The sequence below is a fragment of the Homo sapiens genome, chromosome 2 (genome assembly GCF_000001405.40).
Source record: "Homo sapiens chromosome 2, GRCh38.p14 Primary Assembly".
NCBI classification, from domain to species: domain Eukaryota; kingdom Metazoa; phylum Chordata; class Mammalia; order Primates; family Hominidae; genus Homo; species Homo sapiens.
Genome location: NC_000002.12, coordinates 42,047,707 through 42,070,437, shown reverse-complemented (window position 1 = coordinate 42,070,437; position 22,731 = coordinate 42,047,707). Strand labels below are relative to the sequence as shown.

General features: G+C 51.7%; 1 protein-coding gene across 1 annotated transcript, besides 11 other annotated features; it reads right to left on the bottom strand.

Annotated features, from left to right (window-relative positions):
* Positions 1,247–1,411: a silencer, noted in NCBI's record as "fragment chr2:42296167-42296331 (GRCh37/hg19 assembly coordinates)". NCBI's record gives its function as "represses an EF-1alpha promoter that drives an FKBP-Casp9 reporter gene in an ReSE screen in phorbol 12-myristate 13-acetate-treated (for megakaryocytic differentiation) K562 erythroleukemia cells {active_cell/tissue: K562(+PMA)}" and the evidence as "EXISTENCE:reporter gene assay evidence [ECO:0000049][PMID:32094911]".
* Positions 10,285–10,354: an enhancer, noted in NCBI's record as "active region_15636". NCBI's record gives its function as "activates an Ori minimal core promoter by ATAC-STARR-seq in GM12878 lymphoblastoid cells {active_cell/tissue: GM12878}" and the evidence as "EXISTENCE:reporter gene assay evidence [ECO:0000049][PMID:35858748]".
* Positions 11,845–12,345: an enhancer, noted in NCBI's record as "H3K4me1 hESC enhancer chr2:42285233-42285733 (GRCh37/hg19 assembly coordinates)". NCBI's record gives its function as "activates a minimal SCP1, AML or CMV promoter by ChIP-STARR-seq in primed H9 embryonic stem cells {active_cell/tissue: H9 hESC(primed)}" and the evidence as "EXISTENCE:reporter gene assay evidence [ECO:0000049][PMID:30033119]".
* Positions 11,921–22,417, bottom strand: PKDCC (protein kinase domain containing, cytoplasmic). The gene is made up of 7 exons (NM_138370.3): positions 21,600–22,417; positions 17,077–17,199; positions 16,131–16,402; positions 15,418–15,497; positions 15,045–15,152; positions 13,044–13,217; positions 11,921–12,835 (listed from the first exon to the last, which is right to left on the bottom strand). Exons 1-7 carry the CDS (start codon positions 22,236–22,238, stop codon positions 12,750–12,752), a joined length of 1,482 nt encoding a protein of 493 aa, NP_612379.2. The 5' UTR covers positions 22,239–22,417; the 3' UTR covers positions 11,921–12,749.
* Positions 16,213–16,927: an enhancer, noted in NCBI's record as "H3K27ac-H3K4me1 hESC enhancer chr2:42280651-42281365 (GRCh37/hg19 assembly coordinates)". NCBI's record gives its function as "activates a minimal SCP1, AML or CMV promoter by ChIP-STARR-seq in naive H9 embryonic stem cells {active_cell/tissue: H9 hESC(naive)}" and the evidence as "EXISTENCE:reporter gene assay evidence [ECO:0000049][PMID:30033119]".
* Positions 16,928–17,643: an enhancer, noted in NCBI's record as "H3K4me1 hESC enhancer chr2:42279935-42280650 (GRCh37/hg19 assembly coordinates)". NCBI's record gives its function as "activates a minimal SCP1, AML or CMV promoter by ChIP-STARR-seq in naive H9 embryonic stem cells {active_cell/tissue: H9 hESC(naive)}" and the evidence as "EXISTENCE:reporter gene assay evidence [ECO:0000049][PMID:30033119]".
* Positions 20,314–20,815: an enhancer, noted in NCBI's record as "H3K4me1 hESC enhancer chr2:42276763-42277264 (GRCh37/hg19 assembly coordinates)". NCBI's record gives its function as "activates a minimal SCP1, AML or CMV promoter by ChIP-STARR-seq in naive H9 embryonic stem cells {active_cell/tissue: H9 hESC(naive)}" and the evidence as "EXISTENCE:reporter gene assay evidence [ECO:0000049][PMID:30033119]".
* Positions 21,529–21,788: an enhancer, noted in NCBI's record as "active region_15635". NCBI's record gives its function as "activates an Ori minimal core promoter by ATAC-STARR-seq in GM12878 lymphoblastoid cells {active_cell/tissue: GM12878}" and the evidence as "EXISTENCE:reporter gene assay evidence [ECO:0000049][PMID:35858748]".
* Positions 21,829–21,898: a silencer, noted in NCBI's record as "silent region_11398". NCBI's record gives its function as "represses an Ori minimal core promoter by ATAC-STARR-seq in GM12878 lymphoblastoid cells {active_cell/tissue: GM12878}" and the evidence as "EXISTENCE:reporter gene assay evidence [ECO:0000049][PMID:35858748]".
* Positions 22,029–22,128: a silencer, noted in NCBI's record as "silent region_11397". NCBI's record gives its function as "represses an Ori minimal core promoter by ATAC-STARR-seq in GM12878 lymphoblastoid cells {active_cell/tissue: GM12878}" and the evidence as "EXISTENCE:reporter gene assay evidence [ECO:0000049][PMID:35858748]".
* Positions 22,139–22,318: a silencer, noted in NCBI's record as "silent region_11396". NCBI's record gives its function as "represses an Ori minimal core promoter by ATAC-STARR-seq in GM12878 lymphoblastoid cells {active_cell/tissue: GM12878}" and the evidence as "EXISTENCE:reporter gene assay evidence [ECO:0000049][PMID:35858748]".
* Positions 22,469–22,718: a silencer, noted in NCBI's record as "silent region_11395". NCBI's record gives its function as "represses an Ori minimal core promoter by ATAC-STARR-seq in GM12878 lymphoblastoid cells {active_cell/tissue: GM12878}" and the evidence as "EXISTENCE:reporter gene assay evidence [ECO:0000049][PMID:35858748]".

Genomic DNA, 22,731 nt, shown 5'->3' with positions numbered 1-22,731 from the left:
CCAATAAATCCATTGTAAGTTGAAAATATTGTAAGTTGAAGATGCATTTAATACACCTAATCTGCCAGACATCCAGCTTAGCCTAGCCTATCTTAAACATGCTCAGAGCACTTTAATTATCCTACAGTTCGGCAAAATCATTTAACACAAAGCCTATTTTATAATATGGGTTGAATATTTCATGTAATTTATTGAATATTGTACTAAAAGTGAAAAACAGAACGGTCGTATGGGTGCTCAGTGTACAGTTTCTACTGAATATGTGTAACTTTCACATGTTATAAAGTTGAAAAATTGTAAGTTGAACCATCATCATTTGGGGACCATCTGTACTGTGGATTGGTGAAAGGGATGGAGATGGTGTAGGATGGTGGTTTGGAGGGGTTAGATACAGGCATGACTACAACTGGGTCAGTTCACTGTTTCGTAGCGAAACAATGTTTGGTGATTTTTGCATCCCATTTATTCTTGGAAAAACAAGTTCTTGAGAAAGATATCAAGGGGCATCTCCTCTTCTCTTAGCAGCTTTCAGTTGTCATTCAGAAAGGAGACAGGTCTATTTTCTAGGAAGCCAGCATATGGGCTGCAGCCAACTCAGTCATACTGATATTGTAAGTCCTCAGTCCTACAATATGAGTACGTGGCTCTGCCCTGGGCCTTTCTCATTTGCAAGGCTCCTCCAGCCTGGCTGGGCTGGGCTGAGCTGGACAGGGAGCTGCTGCTCATCCCTCCCTCCTCCCGGGTTCATTTCTGTTTGGGAGTATGGGCAGGTTATGAGCTTCTGCCTTTTGGCTGTGCTTCCTGGGCACCAAGAAGGAAAAAGAAAAGGAAGGTATCTGTAGGCTCTAGGTTATTAGAGCCCAGGAGGGCAGAAGGGAGAAGGAAGGCAGATGGAGAGGAGGATGGACTAAACAGGCTGATGGATGGACAAATGAGCAGGCTCTCCCTCCTTGTCCAGCAGCAGAGGTAATGGTGGCATAAGGTGATGTGGATCAGGAACTGTCATTCAAAAGATGTGGACTGTAGGTAATAGCCTGCATGTCTTTGAAAGAATCTGGACCCTGGTGGGGAGAACCTGCGTTTGCACTGGCCTCTGCCATCAGCCTCAGCTCCTCTTGGCCACACAAGATCCCACCAATTCTAATGGACTTTGCAGGCTGAGAGGTGTTGCTGCAAATAGGTCAGGCTTTGTGGGGTTCCAAGGTTAGTCTTGGGGTAGTACCATGGCCATACCTGCCAACAGTGTCATTTTCCAGCAGCTCCAATAATTCAAAAGGTAATTCTGCCTTTTGATCTTGTCAAGGAGGGAGCTGTTTTAAAGGGCCAGGTGAGACGGGGACTCTGCAGTGAGAGTCCTGGTCTGAGTGCGGGGAGGGCTGGTGGAGCCCGGCGTGACCTCGGAGTTACATATGTGCACACCACATGCTGGGCCATATGTGCTGCTGCCTGGGCTCTGGAGGCTGTCAGGCCCTCCATGCTTGGAATAGTCGGGATCTGCTGACTTGACAAAATGGGGTAGGGGCTGGGCCACATCTGGAGGGGAGCGGGAAGGAACTCCCAGTGACTGGGCTGTGGAGGGACTTCCCACCTTCGCAGCCCTGAGCTCCCCCTTCTTTCTCCACAACCACAGGAGTGGTGTAATTCTCCTCACGTTAAAAGTAAACATCTGGCAGCATCTGCAATGCCCCAAATAAACAAAGAACTAATAGGAGGCATTCGTAACCACAACGGGTCCTGCATGGAGAAGGGAGGGACGCTTCACTGTACAGAAGCTAAAATGACTAAGTGGTGAGCCTCAGCTCATTCGTTTATTGATTGGTGATTAATTCATTGATCAGTGCACAAGCTCCTATAAGACCATGCTGATGCAGTTTTCCAATGCCCCCAGGGCAGCAGAGATGTCACGTCAACCTCATGGCACCAGATGGTCCTTGGTGTGCTGGGGACTGGGGATGATGGTTAGTCCTGGGGTGTCTGTTGCACCTTACTGCAAGTCCAGGGGCCAATATCCAGGGATCCGAGAACAGTGGGAAATCTGTGTGGCAAAGCCCTAGGGTCACTGCAGGGAAAAGGATCATTTTCTGGAAGTGGAGGTTGCCTGAAGCCTTTCATGAGAGATCAGAAGCAGACGCCAGCATAGAGGCAGATAGGATCCCTCCGTGGCGGAGATGCCAAAGATGCTCCCAACGATGAGAGGGGGAGGGAGACAGGGGAAGTGGAGCTGGAGCAGAAGAGGTGGCCACCTTTTAAGGTCAGTCCTCTGAAGCTGGCCAGTGTGCCAGACAGGGCAGTGGTATTGGAATAAACAGTGACGAACACACTGACTGCTGAAGTCAGATTGACAGCAAACTGGAAACAGAGCCTAGGACTGGCTGGCACCATCTGACAACTGAGAAGGGCTTAAGGATGAAATTGGTCATATTTGAACACCATCAAATTCATTCCTCACAGCCACACTAAATGTAAGCGACAGACAGAGAAATGAATTAATAACAAAAATGTCTCCAGCTTTCATGTTCTGGCAGGAGAAATGCTTCCAAGGAGGGACAGATTCACAAGCCTTCCTAATTCTGAGGACCAATGTTCTTCATCACCCTCGTCGCATGGTCGGGAGTGGTGCAGGGCTCGCCAAGGAAGAAGGGACGGAAGGACATGGAGAAGGTTTGGTTGTCTGAGTGCTAAGAAATCAGGCAGCTGGTTATAACTTCAGAAATGGGTCTCGTGCCAGAGGTCATAAAATCACTGCCAGCCGGTTGAATCCAGCTTTTAGACATTTTCTGTTTGGCCCACAAATGTCTTTTTATTTCATTTTAATTTTGAATTTGAACAAGTAGCCAAAGTGTACAAATCAGGAGAGTCACAAAAAATTCCAGCTTTCTTGAAATACCTATGCAAATCACGCCTAAGTTCTCCAGGTGGCCTTAGGCACCACTGATCCCTTCCCTGCTGGCTCTATAGTCATTTGTGATTCCAGCTCCTGTAGTAGGCCATCAAACACTTGTTAGGCATCAAAGAATTAGTGGGGCTGACTTTCCAACAGTCCAGGATAAATAAAGGTTATATAACAAAATGGGAGATTTTGGTCCCATTTTAGGCAGAAAGATCGAACTTCTTTTTTAAGACGTTGAAAGACAATATAAATAAAACCATTTGTATTAACCAGACAAAATCATGACACAGCCGGGCGCAGTGGCTCATGCTTGTAATCCCAGCAAGGATTTTGGGAGGCCAAGGCGGGTGGATCACCTGAAGTCAGGAGTTCAAGACCACCATGACTAATATGGTGAAATCCCATCTCTACTAAAAATACAAAATTAGCCGGGCGTGATGGCGCATGCCTATAATCCTAGCTACTTGGGAGGCTGAGGCAGGAGAATCCCTTGAACCTGGGAGGTGGAGGTTGCAGTGAGCTGAGATTACGCCATTGCACTCCAGCCTGGGCAACAAGAGTGAAACTCCATCTCAAAAAAAAAAAAAAAAAAAAAAAAAATCACAACACATATAAAAGGTTTGGCAATAAAGAAAAATACCTTTGTCAAAAACAAGAAATGGGGAAAGGCTTCCCTATTTAACAAATGGCGCTGGGAAAACTGGCTAGCCATATGTAGAAAGCTGAAACTGGATCTCTTCCTTACACCTTATACAAAAATTAATTCAAGATGGATTAAAGACTTAAATGTTAGACCTAAAACCATAAAAACCCTAGAAGAAAACCTAGGCATTACCATTCGGGACATAGGCATGGGCAAGGACTTCATGTCTAAAACACCAAAAGCAATGGCAACAAAAGCCAAATTGACAAATGGGATCTAATTAAACTAAAGAGCTTCTGCACAGCAAAAGAAACTACCATCAGAGCGAACAGGCACCCTATGGAATGGGAGAAAATTTTTGCAATCTACTCATCTGACAAAGGGCTAATATCCAGAATCTACAAAGAACCTCAAACAAATTTACAAGAAGAAAACAAACAACCCCATCAAAAAGTGGGCAAAGGGTATGAACAGACACTTCTCAAAAGAAGACATTTATGCAGCCAACAGACACATGAAAAAATGCTCATCATCACTGGCCATCAGAGAAATGCAAATCAAAACCACAATGAGATATCAGCTCACACCAGTTAGAATGGCGATCATTAAAAAGTCAGGAAACAACATGTGCTGGAGAGGATGTGGAAAAATAGGAACACTTTTACACTGTTGGTGGGACTGTAAACTAGTTCAACCATTGTGGAAGACAGTGTGGCGATTCCTCAGGGATCTAGAACTAGAAATACCATTTTACCCAGCCATCCCATTACTGGGTATATACCCAAAGGAATATAAATCATGCTGCTATAAAGACACATGCACACGTATGTTTATTGCGGCACTACTCACAATAGCCAAGACTTGGAACCAACCCAAATGTCCAACAATGATAGACTGGATTAAGAAAATGTGGCACATACACACCATGGAATACTATGCAGCCATAAAAAATGATGAGTTCAGGTCCTTCGTAGGGACATGGATGAAGCTGGAAACCATCATTCTCAGCAACTATCACAAGGACAAAAAACCGAACACCGCATGTTCTCACTCATAGGTGGGAATTGAACAATGAGAACACTTGGACACAGGAAGGGGAACATTACACACTGGGGCCTGCTGTGGGGTGGGGGGAGGGGGGAAGGATAGCATTAGGAGATATACCTAATGTAAATGACAAGTTAATGGGTGCAGCACACCAACATGGCACATGTATACATATGTAACAAACCTGCACATCGTGCTCATGTACCCTAGAACTTAAAGTATAATAAAATATATATATAAAAGAAAAATACCTTTGTCATCCTTGCAAAATTACTGGTTTTTGTGTATTTCCTTCCAGTCTCTTCCACTATTTTTTTTGAGATGGGCGGCGGGGGGGGGGCTCTCTTTTTTTTTTTTTTTTTTTTTTTTTTTTTGAGATGGAGTCTCACTCTGTCACCCAGACTGGACTGCAGATCACTGAAACCTCCGCTTCCCTGGTTCAAGTGATTCTCAAGTCTCAGCCTCCTGAGTAGCTGGGATTACAGGCACACGCCACCATGCCCAGCTAATTTTTTTTGTATTTTTCGTAGAGACAGGGTTTCACCATGTTGGCCAGGCTGGTCTGGAACGCCTGGCCTCAAGTGACCCGCCAGCCTCAGCCACCCAAATGCTGGGATTATAGGTGTGAGCCACCGTGCCCAGCCTCCAAATTTATTCTTACATAGTTGAATATATGGGTTGCATACTGCTTTTTCATTTAACAGTATAATTTATACATTTTCTCATATTGCCAAACAGTTCTCATTTTTGTTATTCTAAATAATGTTGCAAGGAGCATCTGTGTGCATCTGAATCTTTTCATATTTTGAATTATTTGCTAAGAATATATTTTCAGAAGCAGCATGAATGGATTACATAAAGACTTGAGCATTAAAGAGTTAACCTGTAAGTTCCTAACCCGAAAGTACCCTGTAGAAATCTCTTCATCTCAGCACATTGTTGGAGAGCCTATAGGAAAAAAAAGGTCACTTCAGCATATGTGATAGGATTGTGGGTAATTTCTAAAAAAATTCGGCATGCGAAGTCCATTCCGGGTATAGCACTATCTTGAGACCCAAGTCAAATAGTACTAAATGTGCTAAGCAGAGGTCTGTGTTTAAAGAAGAAATTCATTTGCTCTTAATAACTGCAGAATGCTGCATAGCTCAACGATGGAGTCAGAAGACTCCGCACGGCATCAAAGCCTGCTTCAATAAGATACGGGAGGCCAAGGTACAAGATAATCTGTCTTTCTCAATTAAAGTAGCTTTGTGCCCTAAGTGCAATAGTCATTTCTTAGAACAATGGTTGCCTTTAAAACTTTTTATTGATGGCAGAATAAAAGGACTAAACAAAACCAGAGTGTTTAAAGGTAATCTATATCCCATATACAACCCAAAGAGCGGTGTAAACAAGGTGATATGTCATAAAATGAAATGTGATACAGATAACCTTACTATTATCTTCTGCACAAGTTCAGATGAATTACAGTGCCTGAAATCTCCAAGCAATGGAAAGTAAGGCACACTGTATGTTTTGTTTTTGTTTTGTATCCCCTCTCTGCACCCCCTGCCACCCCCCAGTCCAGCCTGCTGCCAATAAATAAGAAGATTGACATCATGGAAGCATAGGACAAAATGAGAGCCTTTTCTTGAGACTGACCCTCGTGCTGAAGAACCGAAGGCACCAGAGGGGTCTCTGGGAAATGGTGCGAGAGTTTAGTTTCCATGCCAGGCAAGCTGACAGAACCTCTCAGGGCAGGATTACGGGTGCTTGAGAAAACTCCACCTCCTGTGGAAAGGCAGCCTGTCTTTGGTAAGGAGAAATCATGCTTCCCTAATCTACTAGAGCTTTGTGAAGGGTCAGAATAAGTGTGCGGATAAGGGGGAAACAGGAGACACAATCTCCTTACACTTTCAAGCGTCCTCTGACAGGTGCCACACCAAAGCATGTTAAAGGAGTTGAGTCACCATGGGAATGGAGAGAATGTTGGAAACAAATAGGGAACTGGCTTAGAGATAAGGAATAAAGAGTAAGGATAAACAAGTCTTTATCTGGATGGAAAAATGTGAACTGTGGGGCTCCTGCTGGGGAATTGATGCTCCTGGGGGGACCAAGTTAACTGGCCCTTAATGATTTGAGATGTGACTATCAAGCCCTTTTGCTTTCACAAGTCACATGTGGAAATCATCCCCATCGCCATAGAGTCATGGATCATATATCACCTTGAATTGTGACATCTCCAGTGACTTAGTGGGCTCCTGAAAGGCAGAGCATGGTTGATATTTCTGGATTCATTACAGTGACTAGCATCCAAGAAATATTTTGTGGCTTGATCTGTTGAGAGAAGAATGAGTGTACATTGAAATCTTCTGGCTTGCCAATGACCTTGAGCTCTTCCAAGTAGGCAAATACCAGCAAAGGGCTGTGAGATGCAGGAAGATACAGAGGGCTCAAGAATGGCTGAACATGTTCCCCATGGACAAGGGCAGGTTGAGTAAAGCATTTGAATTGCAGTTTTTCTTTTTTTTTTTTTTTGAGATTGAGTTTTGCTCTTTTTGCCCAGGCTGGAGTGCAATGGCAGGATCTCAGCTCACTGCAACCTCCGCCTCCAGGGTTCAAGTGATTCTCCTGACTCAGCCTCCCGAGTAGCTGGGAGTACAGGTGCCTGCCACCATGCCCAGTTAATTTTGTATTTTAGTAGACTTGGGGTTTCATCATGTTGGCCAGGCTGGTCTCGAACTCCTGAACTCAAGTGATCTGCCCGCCTCGGCCTCCCAAAGTGCTCGGTTTACAGGCGTGAGCCACCGCACCCAGCCTGAACTTTGTTTTTATGGATGTGTAAAGAGAATACATGTAAATACATCATATATATCAGTTTAGAAAATAATAGTGAATACATCATATATACCAGTTTAGAAAATAATAGTATAAGCTGCACCTTTGAGGATGAGAGATTTGAAGCTCTCAGTGACAGCCCAAGGAAAGATTTTGGGTCACTATAATCCAGTGCTTCTCAACCTGTTTTCCATTATTATCCCCCACCCCCACCAAGTACTTTTTTTAACCTACCTTTCCCCCAGTTGCCACCACCTTCCATGAAATTTTAATAGCATGGAATATTGCATTTCTGTTTATGTCCTGTGGCCCTTTGCAGGGCCATAAACCATTGTGATATCTAAGACTTTCCATCTCCCAAGAACCAAGTGTTGTCTCCTTGGGAATGATGGTAGCTCTGTTGAGAATGCATGCTGTAAGGGACTTTCTGCAGGATTGGGCCCAAAAGTGTGACTTCATTCAAACAACAACAAATTGCTGAATATCTAAGGATGGAACTGGGAACAAAAAAGTCATCTCTTGCCTTCCCCTCAAGCCAAACAAAATCCCAAAGATGTGAGGTGAGATGGGGTGCTCCTGACCAGCTCTTAGGTGAGCACATTGAGTTCCTTAGCCCTCTGCCTTCAAGTTGAGTTTGGCCAATGGGGAGCTCAGCAGGAGACTGGGGGAGTGAGGACGGAATGTGTGGTGAGAGTATATGTCCCACCTTGTGGGGTCACCCTGTCTGGTGGTGTCCTTTGGTCACTTCTTCAAGTGCCAACTCTACATGACTCCTGGGTTCTTCTTCCAGGTTCTGAGTTCTGGTAATAGCTCCCACTCCCTTCCTTTGGTGGGGGATAGAGATGGAAATAGCTTGGCTGCCACTGGCTCAGGTCATAGCTATCCTTTGGACCTACACATTTGTAAATGGGTCTTATGCACACTGTGCTCTCTGTTTCCTGTTGGGGCCTTGAATGATAGAGGGAAAAGTTCTTTTTTCTGCATCCTAGGAGAGGCTTTCTGGAGCTGGAATGAGGCCAGAGGGCCTAGGGCTGGGTAGGATGGGCCAGGACAACAAGTCGTTAAAATGCTGAGAAAAGGAGACTGACAGGGCCCTTGACTGGAATGAGAGTGGGAGAAGGAACTTCCCCCAAACACAGTTGTAGGGATCCTCTAGAGCTTAAGAGGCAATTATTAGAAATATCTTGGTCTATCTCCTTCCCGTAGGTGGGAATGATGTGGCACTTTGTCTACCTCAGGGGGTAGCCTTGGCTGGGGTTCACGGAGAGGTGAACAGAGAAACATAAAAGTTCTTCACATAGACCTCAAAGGGGTCCTTTAAGGTCAGGGTCCTTGGGACATCCTCACTTTTGTGGATGATCCAGGGGAGGTGGCAGGTGTGAGTGGATCATTGCTCCTATGGGTTTAGGGCAATAACTGGGTGTGCTTCTGGGTGGAGGGAAAGGAACACAGGCTTTTGGGGGCAACAGCCTAGGCTTGGATCCCTGCTCTTCACCCCTCTGGGCCATCACCCACCTCTCAGAGTTGCCGTAAGGATTAAATGAGAAAGTGCACAGAAAGTCACGCAGGCCTGGCCTGCAGCCAGCTACAGCCCTGCCCCTCTTCCTAGTCAACTGAGTAGTCTCATGCTCAGAGTCCAAGTCTCCTTTCCTGGCTCTGCCCTCAGGAGCAGGGACAACCAAGTCTTACATGCTTCGGGCTCCAGAAGCCACAGAGTGAAAGCAAGAAGCTGTTGTCATGGATGGGGGGTGGGTGGGCACATTATCCTGAGGCCTCCTAATCCCATTTTCTGCTTTCATGTTAATCCTCTTCCTCCTTCTGTCTACCACACACTGAACTCCCAGGGCACTGACCCAGAGAGCCGGGCCCCACCTCCCGCAGTTGAAGGCCCTATTCCCTATGGTGGGAGGGCGGGGTGGGGCGGGGGCTGCAGAGTCAAGGGGTGGGCAGTCCAGCTCGTGCCTTCGTCCTCCGCAGTTGACCTGGATGTTCTTCCAGGCCAGGCCATGGATAACACTGAGGGCTTAGCTCGCTAATAAATAATAACAATGACAGCATCAGCCAGTATTTCCTAAGCATGTACCGTTTGCTGACCCTGGCTAAGGCAGGATTTTATTCAGTTTCCGTAAGGCTGCTGTGAAGCAGATTATCCATCTGAAATTTGCAGATGAGGAAATGGAGGCTCAGGGAGGTTGTCATGAACCAGATCACACTGAGCAAAAAGCAGAACTGTCTGGGACTCCTGCCCAGCTTTGGCTGGCTCCAGAGCCTCACGGGGAACCACTAGGTCATACTGCCCTCCTGCATTGCTTCCTCAATTCAGGAACACAACTGGGGGATCCTTTCCCCAATTCAGAAAAGGATCCCTTCCCAATCCCCACCCTTGCCTTCCCTCCTCTGGCGCATGTCACCTGAGGCTTCAGTTGGGTGAATATATTTTTTCTGTTCACTACACCCGGGTATCACTAGCATTGCAGTGGAGTAGGAAGAACGTGGCTTGGTGGGTGGAAGGGGAGGTGGCGTTGTGTTTCTGGCTGAAACAGGTGGCTCTCTGTGAAAGGTCATCTGGGAGAGGAATGATTTTGCTTCAGGCTTTCCTTTACCTCCCCTTTCTTTCTGGCACTCCATCCCTTCTCCATTCCCAGTTGCAAATGCCCTTCTCTTGACTCTGCAGGACTGAATCTGGCCATTTTTGCCCCCAGAAATAGGTTCTGGGACAAGGCTCACTCACTAAGGAAGGAGCCGTCCACCATCCCCTTCAGCCACTGTGTGTCAGTCTTTCTAAAAAGATGTTATGCCTTGCGGGACCTCCATTTCGGTTTGTTACACACTCACAGGAAGGAGGCGCTTCCCTAACTCTAGCTTACACTCTTCCTGCTGCAATGGGTCCCTTCTCGGAGGCAGCACTCCGTACTACCGGACAGAGCGCAGGCTTGGAGGGAGGCTGGATTAGAATGCTTGCTGAAACACTTAGCAGCTGTTACCTGGGCTTCAGTTTTCTGGGCTAGAATTGGAATAATTTTGTACCTTGCTGAGGCCAGAGCCTGGTCCTCTGGAAGTATTATTTCCCTCTGTCCCTCTCCAGGGGCTGGTGAACCCCTCGTCTGGAAATCTCTCAAAGCCAGGAAGGCAGTACTTGGTTCACTTTGGTCTTTTTCCCCAGAGTCCTGTGGTTCCTGAGCCCTGCGGGCCTCTCTCCTGGTTATTACTGGGTCCTTGGGTCCCTCTGGACTGTGCAGCCCTCGCAAACTTCCTGGCCCAGCCCCCTCCCCTCAGGTTCTCATCACTTCTGGCCCCGCCTTGTGCCTCCTTGGTGGATGCGGTTCCTCCGGCCCTCAGAGCCCCACAGGCCATATGACTGTTGGAGGGTAATAGAGGATTGTGTAAAGTCCAGTACTGGATTGCGTGGGGTGGGCTATGCATGTTGCATGGAGTGAGTTCAGCTAGGGAAGGAGGCCCGAGGGTGATGGAAGCTGAGGTCCTCCTTCGAGGGTTAAGGATGGTCTGAGGGTGGTGAGCATGGCAGGATTTGGCTGCATTGTCATGGTGTGAGGCTTTGTGGAGGCTCTGCCTCTCCCCTCCACCCACAATCCCACAATCAACAAGCCCAACACCAGAGGCAAGATGTGGGGTGTGTGGGCTGGGGATGGCAGTGGTGAGCTGCAACCCTGAGGGTCAGAGCGGCGACTATGACTAGGGCTGCAGAGCAAATACGGCTCCTCAGTCACCTCGAACTACAGGGACATCTTGTTATGTGACAAATTACACCAACCACGTCTGTTGAGGAGAAATCAGGTTAAAGTTTGGTTATTCTTTTTAAAGCCTCCAAAGGTTTGTGCCCATCCAGAATATTCTAAAAGTAGAATGGTGTATAGGAGAGAAGATATGGGTTTCAAGTCAGAAGCCCTGCATTCATGGCGGAGCTCTCTGGCCTCCGTGTGATCCTAAACCCGCAGGTTCTTGTTTTTGCTCTGGACTTCGATATAGCCCAGCTAGACCTTCCCTCCTAAAATTGACAAAGTGGAAGCTGGTCTTTCCACAGACCCTCCTTTCTTCTGAATGTTCATATATTTCATGTTCAGGGAAAGACTCAGAAAAGCTTAGTGCCCATGACCTTGTGGTGGGCCCAGGCCAGGTCCAACCCTGGGCAGAGGTAAAGCTGACCCACCTGCAGGTTGTTCGGGTGCTCCTTGTGACCCCTTCATGGCTGACATCTCACCATGAGGACATTATTCCACTGGGTTAGGGCTTCATACATAAGAAGCCGGTCTGTAAAAATGAGAACTTCCTTGGGGGAAAAGGGAGTCCCCATGTCTTTTTTGGGGACACGATGTGGAAGACCCAGCAGGAGGTGGGCACCATGGGTGGGAGCAGGGCCTGAAAACACTTTGTGATGACTTCAGGGTTTGCTGCTGAGATTTCACTCATCTTCCCCTGTGACACATGCATCCCCACAAACATATACCAAGGATATAACTGAGGACCAAGAAGTCACAACCTAAGAAACTGTCATTAGGGAAGAGTTTGCTGTGAAACATCATTTTATTAACTAATTTTATTTTATTTTTTACAAAAATAAACAATTTAACCAACAAGAAGTACAAAAGATTCTGGATATTCAAACTCGAGGAAGGGGGAAAGCCTGGTTTTGGCTGCTTTGAGGCTTTCATTGAAAGCAAATGAGGCAGAAAGGCCCCGGCCCCACCCCCGCCCCAGGTCCTGGCTCAAACCACACCTGCTCCCTGACCCCAGTCTTGGCTCATGCTGAGGTGTGCACCTCTGCCCCTGACCCCTGGGCTGGCCTGGGAGTGTCCCCTGTCGGGAGGTCAGAGATAGCCTCCCCAGGTACAGAATCACCCACATCCTGGAGCATCTCCCGCCAAGTCTCCTGTCCAGACCTAAGCTGAGAGAACACTCCACGATGGATTGTCCCCACGCAGCCCCCACCGCCTGCTGTGGCATGTGCAGCAGCAGCAGCAGGGGCTTTAGCTACATTCTCACACTATTGAACACAGTGATGGGGCTGCCCACGGAACCGTCCCAGGGAGGGGCACAGCCCCCAGTGGGGAGACTAGCCTGAGCTTGCTTACAGCCCACAGGGTTGGAGAGGCAGTCATACCCCCATGATTCCTGGACTAGGAGCCAGCAGTCCCATAGCTAGGCTGGTAAACTCACATTTTAACATTTGGCATTATTGCACGTTTGTCCTGGTCACATCTGTCTGTCTGGGATGTTAGCTTTGTCTGCAGGGGTTCCCAGGTGACATGCAGTGCTGCCAGTGCAAGTCACTCCCTCCACAGGCAAGCCCAGCTGCTGAGGATAGTCAGCTGGTCAGCCGAGCCCTCAGATAGGTCAGCCAGAGGCCTTCACATATGTGGTCTTGTTGGGATCAGGGACCACTTGGCTCCATCCAGTCTTGAAAAAGACCAGCTGCCGACCTGGGGGGCAGAGGTGAGAGGTAACAGGGCTGGATGTTTCTCTTTCTGGAGGCAAGACCATTCTCCCTAATTTGACTGCCTTGAAGACACGTATACCTCTCTCTCATCACCTCAGCACCCCCTCTGACTTCCGATGGGGGATCACTATCTATCAACCTCCAGAGAGGTCCTGCCATCTCCCTTGGAAGGGCTTCTCCCACTGGCTCACCTGTCCAGGTGGTCTGGTTGGTGACCACAAAGGCCCGACACTGGGCATGGCTCTCACAGACATCCACAGCCTCAGCCAGGTTGAACACTGAAAGGAGGCAGCTCCCGTGGTGGTAGGATGGCCAGCAGCGGTAGTCTTCCTGGGGGATGGTGCTGTCTGGGATACACTGGTACTCTGTGGGTTGGGGATGGAGTAAAATGAGAATTCTGTATGCCCAGGTTTGAGTGCCCAAGGATGTGTCACTTTCTGGAAAGGGCAGCAAGACTCATTTCCTAGGTGAAAGCTGAAGTCCAGCCCAGCCCTCTAGCACGCAGATGAAGGCAGCTACCACTGTTGAAACAGGGCTGACTGCTCAATAAAGACAAAGCACAGACTTGATTTTCAGGAGATACATATTTCCCAAATCTAAGGGCACATAGCTTGGTCAGGCAGTACAAGATAGCAGGCACATGAAAGGGGTACAGACATATACAGGGACACATGGAGTCCCAGCTGTCTAGGCTAATTGCTGAGGCCAGGACATTTTAGACAGTTGGAGCCAGGCTTCTCAAACTTCAATGTGCATGTGAATTACCAAGGACTCTTGTTAAAATGCAGATTCTTTTTCTTTTCTTTTTTTTTCTTTTTTTTTTTGATGGGGTCTCACTCTGTTGCCTAGACTAGAGTGCAGTGACACAATCATAGCTTACTACAGCCTTGAAATCCTGGGCTCAAGGGATCCTCCCATCTCAGCCTCCCGAAGTGCTGGGATTACAGGTGTAAGCCACCATGCCCAACCAAATGAAGATTCTGATTCTGTAGGTCTGGGGTAGAACTGAGAATCTGTACTTCTAACCAGCATCCAGTGTGGCCTGCAAGGGTTCAGAGCAACCCTCATTCACATTTTCTCCTGGCCTTGGGGAGAGAAGTTAGGCAAGTTCCTCAGAAGGGCCTGGGATGGAAGGGAGTCGGGGTTTTTGAAGTTAAGAGGCATGCAAATGGACTAAAATGCAAAAAATCCATGGCTAGAGTGGGGAGGGGGCTGGAGGGAAAATCTGAGATCTCATTCTACAGAGAGAGCCTCAGAAGCTCTGAAAACTCACAATCAGTGAGCTCCTCAGCTGCTGGCCTCTTGTTTGCTCCTGTCTTTCCCACTGCCTGGAGAGCCCCAGCTCTGGACTGATAATGCAGAAGCCCTGGGCCTCTGGCCACCCCACCCTCCTGCCTCCTTCTACCAGGGACTAGACCAAAGTCCAGGGCTGACTGTGATTTACAGCCCCATAAACAGCATCCTCAGGGACAGAGCCAGCCATTGTTCACCTCGTTAAACTTTATTTACAGGGCTAACAGGGCTCCCCCACCCCTAAGACTAGCCAGAACTCCTTGAATATGAAACCTGCTCACCCCTCAACCCCTGCCAACCCCAGCTAAACCCCAGGGCTTCAGCAGAAGGACCACAGCCTGAAACCAGTGGCCAGAATTCTCCCCCTGCCCTGGGGCTTCTTGGCTGGTTTCAGTGTGTGCCTTCCCTAACATGCAGTGCCCTTCTAGCCCCGGGAGGTTAGAGGAAGGAAAGGGAAGCAAACATATACTGCGTTCCAGCTGTGTCATAGGAACTGCACTAATTGCTTTCACACATTTCACCTGACATTTAATTCCCATAAGAATTTGGTGAGGTGGGTAATAGTGAACCCAATTCACAGATGAGGAAAGTGAGGTTCAAGGGGTAACTTGCTCAAAGTCATATAGCCAGTACATGATAGGGTTTGGAGCCATCCAGAGTAGGGGTATCAGTGCCCAACCCCAGGTTGAAGGCAGAATTATAGTTGCTCTAGCTCAGCTAGAGATGGAACCTCAAATTAGTCCATGTCAGCCCCTCCATGATTCTATGTGAGCCCCTACAGTGGCCTTTGGAGACAAGGGTCCCCAGAGAAAGGGTGAGCCACTTAGCCTAATTGGGCGGGGTCATTCACCCTCCCACCTGTTTCTTGCTTCCCTGTGGATCAGCTTGGGGCCACTCACCGGTACTGCTGCTTGCCGTGGAGTTCTGCAGATACTGCCCGCTCCGGTACAGGTGCAGCACCTTCTCCAGCTGGGCCAGGGTCTCGTCCACCCCCCAGGCGAGCTCTCCTGCAGAGTGCAGTGTGGCTAAGACAGGATGCCTGGGGCTCCCACTCCTCCCTGAAGTCAGCAGCCAGCTGCTCCCACCTCTGCCTCCAGAGCCTGTGCCCCAGTGAACAGAGGGCGGGGGAGCGGGGAGGTTGCGGCAGAATGCCACCTTAGGAAGTGATGGTTTCTAGAACCCCTGCTGCCCTGGGTTATTTTTCTCCCCACTTTTGCTGGCGGGTGGGGGTGGGGTAGGTGCCTGGAAGCAGATGGGCCCTGGAGAGCTCACCTGTGGCGTTGACGATGCTGTCCAGCAGAGGACGCAGTGAAGGCGGGGCACTGTGAGGCAGGAGGTATGTGAAGAAAAACCTGTGGCAGAGGGAAACCAGTGGCTCAGGAATCCAGCCTTTGGAGACACATCCTTCCTCTATTCCAACCTGGGGCAGAACGCTAACCTGGCCAGGGAGCCGGATCCCTCAGGCCTAGCAACCAGGCAGAACGCAGTGAAGTCTACTCAGCCTCGGGGGAGGGTTCTGGGCACATGCTAACACCACACCTAACTTCATACTAACCGAAACCAGGGGCCTGCTTCCCAACCCTTCCCAGGACTTGCCCACCTCCCAGCCCCACATTATCCCCTGACTGACTCCCGGTGTCGGAGCAGCCCCATGGCTGGGGCCCAGTGAGGAATTTCCCAGAGCACAAGGGCCTGGGTGGGAAGGGAAAAGTGCCAGTTCCACCAGCCCTAGGCTCCGAGTCCAACACTATTTTAAGAAGCCTCCAGCTGCCACCCCCTAACCCGGATTCTCCTTGGAGCTGTCTATTTTTAGCCTCTCCATCAGAGGCCTGAATGTTCCCTTCTGGACAGGGTAGAAGCCTTCCCTTGCTCTGGTCAAGGCTGAGTCTCCCTGCCCAGCTGGCCTCCACGTTGGCTCTCTTCCTGCCATGCCCTCCTGGCCCATTCTCCTTCGATGGAGTTCCCGAGTCAGGGGTGGAGGTCACCTGTAGGCATTATAGAGGTTCCGCTTCTCGTTCATGCCCTCGCACCAGCCCTGGGCTGAGCAGGGCAGGGTGAAGTTCCTGGCCGGAAACTCGAGTATGCAGTCGGTGCTGCCTGCACACGGCGTCTCCTCCACACGTGCGTCATCCAGGTCCGTCACTTTGAGCTCCCCATCCACCAGCACAAACTGCCGAGGGCGGAAGTCCAGCAGAGTGACGGAGCCCAGTGGGGAGTGGGCCAGGTGGTGGAGGAGGCGGCCCAGGCTCAGGCAGATCTGAGGGGCACAAGAAAAGACTGCTCACTGCTTTTCTCCTGGGTTGGGGGTCTGTGGGACTCGAGGGCACCCTCCTCTTGGAATCTGAACTTTGCTTGTGGGGGTTGGCACTTCTCTTCTATAGGCCCCAGGGCTCCACAAAGGCCAAGGTCAGCAGCCTTAGAGAGGAGGCCAGTGATTTTCTATTAACTCTCGGCTGGCCTGACCCTGGAAATGATATGGAGTGGGTGGGAAACTGCAGCAGCGAGGGTCTGGGGATAATGCATCTCTTCCCTGAAGTTGCATCCTGAATGTTGTTTTAGTTCAGTGTATGGAAATATCGGGAGGGTCAGGATGGTATTAAGGTCTTTCCTAGTTCTAGGACACTGGCCCTCCTGCAGTCAGGCTGAGTGTGAGTGTGTGAGTGCTCCCCTCTTTAAGGTGCCAGCCCCCACAAGCTGGTGTGTACACGCGCACAAGGAGGGGTGAGGAGGGCAAGAGCACAGCATGTCGGGATCCTTTAAGTCTTGCTTCTTTTTTGAACCCTTTGGCCGGTGGCTGAGTCAGCCTGTGCGCCTTCCTCCCCTCCCTCTCCCTGGGTGGAGGAGGAGTGGGAGCTGCTTTGGAGGGCTGGCCTTCTAAGGCAGAACCATCCTAGCAAGGAGCCCAGGGCCCGAGCCCTCCTCTGAGCTCACTCGGAATCGATCCTCCCAGGAAGTTTGCAGCAGCTGGATCATTTCTACAGGGGCGCCCAGCTCCGTGATGGTGGTCAGGGTGTCTGGGATGTCCTCGCTGTCCTGGTAGCAGTAGCCATAGAGCTGGGGAAAGCCGAGGGCAGGTCATTAGGTCACAGGGTGGGGGTGGGGACAGGGAAGGGCTGGACTGTCAGGTTCCCCCTCTCTCTCCTCCCACCATCCCCAGGCCTTTGCTTCAGCTCAGGCCAGAAGAGAATGGCAGCGTTGCCTGGGAAGCATGCCCTCTCTTCCCTGCAGTCAGACTTCCTACTGACCATGTCAGCCCCTCACCCCTTCCGACTCAGGTAAATAGGCAGGTCTGGCCACTGTGAGTTAACCACGTGCCAGGTACCATGCTAAATTGCTCTACGTGCATAACTCAATTATTGTAATAACCCTAATGGGCACAGTAGGTGCTATTATTATCTCCAACTTCAGGTGAGGAGGCTGACTCAGAGAGGTTAAGTTGCTTGCATAAGGTCGCACAGCTGATCAATGTAGGAGCCTAAGATGTGAATTTGTGCCACTCGGATTCCACAACCTATTTTTATTTATTTTTCTTTTCTTTTCTTTTTTTTTTTTTGAGACAGCCTCGCTCTGTTGCCCAGGCTGGAGTGCAGTGGCATGATCTCAGCTCACTCTGCTTCCTGGGTGCGGGCGATTCTCCTGCCTCAGCCTCCCGAGTAGCTGGGATTACAGGCGCTTGCCACTATGCCCAGCTAATTTTTGTCTTTTTAGTAGAAACAGGGTTTCACCATGTTGGCCAGGCTGGTCTCAAACTGCCGACCTCAAGTGATCTGCCTACCTTGGCCTCCCAAAATGTTGGGATTACAGGCGTGAGCCACTGCGCCCGGCCACAATCTGTTTTTTCTAAGAATGCTGTTTGGTAATACACAAGCGAGCATACGGTTGGACATTATCCTTCCTCCCCTCCTTGAATCTGTATCTATCCCTCATCATTTCTACCTTCTGGCAGCTTCAATTTTCTCTGCGTGGGTCTTGAGGGAGGAAAAGCAAGTTCCCTTAGACTGGTAACAAGTGTTGATAAGAACAAGGTACCTGAGGGCACATCCCCAGGTGTGTTTTGCATATGAGTGATGTGTATCAGTGGGGGTGGTAGTGAGTGATGATTCCTCCTGGAAGATCAGTTCTTTTGGGGTTACGGTCACAGGGAACTGCCCACTCTATGTCATCTGGGGAGAAGCTCCGCACTGCCCAGGGACTTCTGGGAAGCAAAGCCTGAGTGTCACTACCACCTTAACAGCACCCACAGGCATCCCCCTGGCTCTTCCAACATACTCCACAGCAGCTAGGGGCTCGTATGGTGCTCAAAACAACCAGCACCCTGTGGGGTAGAAACACGAAGGCTGAGTTGTCCAGGCCCGACTCAGGGAGAGGAGAGCTATGCGGTGGAGGGGTGGATATCCCTGTGCACTGTCACCCTCATACCATCATTCACACCCTCCCCAGAGCCACTCCAGGTCCTCACATGTCCTCTTCCCGCCCTAGGAGTGCCCCCTCAGCTCCCCGTCATCCTGCTGGCATGGGGGAAGGCCTCACTCTTGGGCTGTGACTTGGGGGGCCAGGGCAGCTCCAGGCACCCTCTTCTCTCTCCACCCCCTCCCCATCAGTCCAGGGAAGCCCCAGACCCTGGTGGGGTGGGGGGAAGGTAAGGGGAACAGCCCTGGGGCCTGGTTCTCATTTTCTTGCCCAGAGTCTGAGCCTTTGTGGGAAACTTCTGAAGGTTATTAAACACCCGGAGGTCGTTAAATGCGCTGTTAACGAGGTATTAATCAACACCCCTCAGGAAAAAATAAAAAGACACCATTAACCCCCCCCAGGAAGCGTGAGGCTGAGCATTTCAGTCACATCTTTTGTTTGGTTGGGAGAAGAAATATACTCTAGCAGGGCCAGAATCTGGGCCCAGGCAGGCCTGGGGGCCCATCCAAGGCCTGGGGGCCCCAGGATGACTGGGGGAGGGGGAGGTGGGGAGAGGTTGAGGGGAGGGGAGACCCTTGTGCCCTTTGGCCCTGGGCTATAGAGGAGTCAAGTCACGTGAGGGAGTGTGTATGCGTGTGTCAGGGGCGGGATGGGGAGGGGTCAAAGAAAATGGATAGAAAGATCTCGCCCAGGCAATCCCCATGACCAGAGAAAGCCCTGGGAGGTGCAGAATGGGGCCTGCTAGCCTGGGCATTTTCTATTAGAATCCACAGCACCAATTCTGGGCTGCTCAGAGAGGGAGGGTGGTGAGCCTGCACCACTAGGAACTCTAGAAATGTTCTCTAACTCCTCCCCAGTTCAGCAAACAGTCAAATGGTTTTGAAATTTTAAATAACTCAGAGGTATTAAAGCAGCATTATTTCTAGTTCCCTGTACACCTGCCCTGAAGCCTCCTGGGCAGGAAGACCCCACTGTAGGCTTCCCTGCCAGCAAAGATGGCCGTGTTTAGGAGGCCAGAGCGACACTGGCCTGATGGTCAGAAGATGAATGGGGGAGAGCCACCATCAAAGCAGTCCCTAAACTCACACTAAAGGGCCCCCCACTTTTCACTTTTCCTGGGTAGAAAGGACCTGTGACCCTCTCTCCCTTAGCAACCCTTGTGCCCTGGGGCCACTAACTCTCGTCTGGGACTCTACAATAAAGAGTCACACAGCTAACCCCAGACAACCCTGGTCTTGGTTTGGTGAGGGAAGGGTGAAAACTATTCTGTTGTAATTTTTTCTTTGGTGCCTTCAGAATTGGGCTGGGGGCCTGACATTTCAGAGGAGGACCGTCACGTGATATATATGTGGGGCGTTAGCTGAATGCTTGTCAGGAAGTTTGAGCTGGCGGGAAGAGTGAGGGACAAGTTTCTTAAAAGATAGGAAAGCACATCAAACATCAAACCCGTCTGAAGGGAGAGGGGTCTTGAGTCAAGTAACTAAGACTTTATGTCCTGCTAAGTCACTCAAGACCTCTCCACTCCCTCAGGATCTGGCTGACACCCTAGAGTTTCCAAAAAGTTCCCAAAAGTCCCTGGGAAGGAAAGAGTACAAGATCCTCCCAGTTAGAATGGCCACGTAACCAGGGGCTCACTCCCTGAAGCTGCAGACACGGTGTGAGCTGTGCAGCCAGGCTTCACTACACGCAAGTGTTGGTTCTGCCCGAGCTCCTGAGACCAGTTTGGGGCCCAGGGCCCGGTCACAAGTGTCTGACCAGGGTTGGGGAATACGATGGGGGAGGGGGAGACTGGGAGCCAACAGGAGTATAAACAACTTTTGGGCCAGTCTCTCCTGCTCTACGACGCCCACCCATCTCCCTCCAGGGCTGGGGTGCCATCTCACTCCTAAGGAAAGGAGAGAGGGACTCCTGGGTTTCCAGTCATTTCTGCTGGGTGCAGAAAGGTTAGTTTGAGTGGGCTGGTAGGTGGAAGGTGTGTGCAAGATTTCATCCGTTGGGGAGGCTGCACACACCCATGTTCACCGGGCCAACAGCGGTCAGGGATTCCCCTCTGTTTGCTCAGACATGTGCAAAGGGAATAGTCTGTCTAATCTTAGGATGGGGGGAGACCTGAGAGAGAGGACGTGGAGTGTTAGGGCGGTGCTGGGACTGTGAGAGGCCCACTCAAAGTCTAGCTTGGAGGGGACAAGGTGGGGGTTTCAGCTCTCGCCTGTGTCTCCAGTGAACAGGCGAGGCAGAGTCCCGTTGAGTAGGAACCTGAGCATTTGGCCTTCTCAACCTTCCAGCCTCTTGGCTATCTATATACACTCAGACAGTGTGACATTTAGATCCTCAGGCCGCCAGTCTGTCCACTGAGCTGAGACCTTCAGGCTTCTCCAGGGGCTCAAGGACCCACTTTAAGGCCTGGGGAACCCTTAGTTCACTTCTGGGAAGGACTGTGTTCCCTTTTTCTAGCCTGCTCCCCAGCCCCCTTCCAGTGTCTTCTGGGTGGCGCTGGAGGTGGGTGGGTGGGGAGACTCTATAGGAATCAAGCCTGACACATGGTCTCTTTCCAGCTCTTCCCAGCCCCACTGCTGTCCCGTCTCATTTTCAAAACCAGACAAATCACTGGAAGTTGGGAGAAGTTCCATCAAGAAGGGGGACTTTATCACACAGTTGGAATTCTGACTCAAGTGTCTTGGCTTAGGGTCATTTTGGCTTGGGGTAATATCCCTGGTGTTCAACCTCCTAACTCCAGCCCGGAGTAGAGTCCTAAATCCTAATGGACTGCCCCACCCCCTGAGTTTTGGGAGCCTCTGTCCTGGCCTGTCTTTAAGAGATGTGTGGAAGCCGAGAAACCCAGGAGTTCTCCGGTAAAGGGACGCCCACCCAGGAGTGAGAAGCAGGGTGGTGCAGTGGGAAGGGCCATGGTCCGGTTTCTGCGTCTAGCTTAGCCTGGGTGCAGTCACTGGCACTCCAGATCAAGGGGTTCTCTTCCAGCCAGGTTGACAAGGTCTTGGGCACTCCCAGCCAACACCGTTACCCCCGCGTCCCCACCCTCGTACCTGCAGCACGTTGGGGTGCCGCAGCCGCTCCAGCAGCACCATCTCCTTAAGCAGCTTGTGGGCCGCCAGCCGATAGCAGCCCCTCCGTACCCCGAACTCGCGCACGCAGCTGCCCAGATCGTGGCCGCTAAAGTCCACCGCCTTGAGCGCCACCGCGGCACCGCCGGGCAGGCGGACCCGGTACACGGCCTTGGTGTAGCCTGAGCCCATGTACTGCGCGCCGGACACGTTGCGAAGCGCGGCGCAGCCCAGGCGCGGGCCCGGGCCGGGGGAGCCTGGGCCGGGAGCCGGGGGCCAGCCTGGGGCGCCGTCGGACAGGGGCCGGGCCCAAGGGGGCCGGGGGCGCGGCAGGCCGGGCCCGCCCGGAGCCAGGTCCATCAGGCGCCGCCGCTCCGGCCGGCCCGCCCCGGGCCCGGGGCCCCCGCGGGAATAGCGCTGCACCTCCTCGTAGCGCGCCCGGATCTGCCGGGCCAGCTCCCCGCGGCCCCCGCGACGGCCCGGACCCGGGGCCGGCGAAGGCTCAGGGGACTGGCCTGGCCTCGGAGGCTCCGAGCCCGGAGCGAAGAGCACGTTGAGGACGGAGCCCAGCAGGAAGGAGGCGCAGAAACCCGCGGCCACTGCCGCCCGCCGGCGCCGCATCGCTCCCCTCCCCCCGGCCGGCCGGCCCCGCGCGGCTCCCCGGCCCCGGCCCCGGGCGGCTCAGGCTCCGAGGCGGCTCCGCTCTGCGCCCCGCCGGCCCCCTGCCCAGCCCGCGCGCATGGCCCCGGCGGCCCCGACCCCGGCCCCTCGCGGGCGACACATCGGCCTGACACTTGCCTCCCTGCCGCCCTGCCCCCGCCGCTTATAAGGCCCAGAGCCGCCCCCCGCCCCCGCCCCCGCCCCCTCCCCCGCCCCCTCCCCCGCCCCTCCGCCTCCACCTCCCAGCTCCCGGCCCGAGCCCGTCCTCGGCGCCGCCCCCTCCGGCCGCCCGGCCCGGCCTTCCCCGCTGACTGACAGCGGGACCTCCTCCCGCGGCCGTCCGGGCCTGGGAAGCGGCGCGGAGGCGGCTCCGGTCCTGCCCAGCCCGCGGTCCCGCCCAGCCCGCGGTCCCCCGAGCTCCGTCTGGGAGCGGGGGAGGGGGCGGCGGCGGCCA

Bases quoted from the DNA above. Each gene is read 5' to 3' on its own strand.
- PKDCC (NM_138370.3), bottom strand. From the start codon at position 22,238: ATGCGGCGCCGGCGGGCGGCAGTGGCCGCGGGTTTCTGCGCCTCCTTC. The intron at 15,153-15,417 runs GTGAGCTCTCCA...TGCACTCTGCAG, and splicing joins CAGCATCGTCAACGCCACAG to GAGAGCTCGCCTGGGGGGTG. The intron at 13,218-15,044 runs GTGAGTGGCCCC...CCCAACCCACAG, and splicing joins CACGGCAAGCAGCAGTACCG to AGTACCAGTGTATCCCAGAC.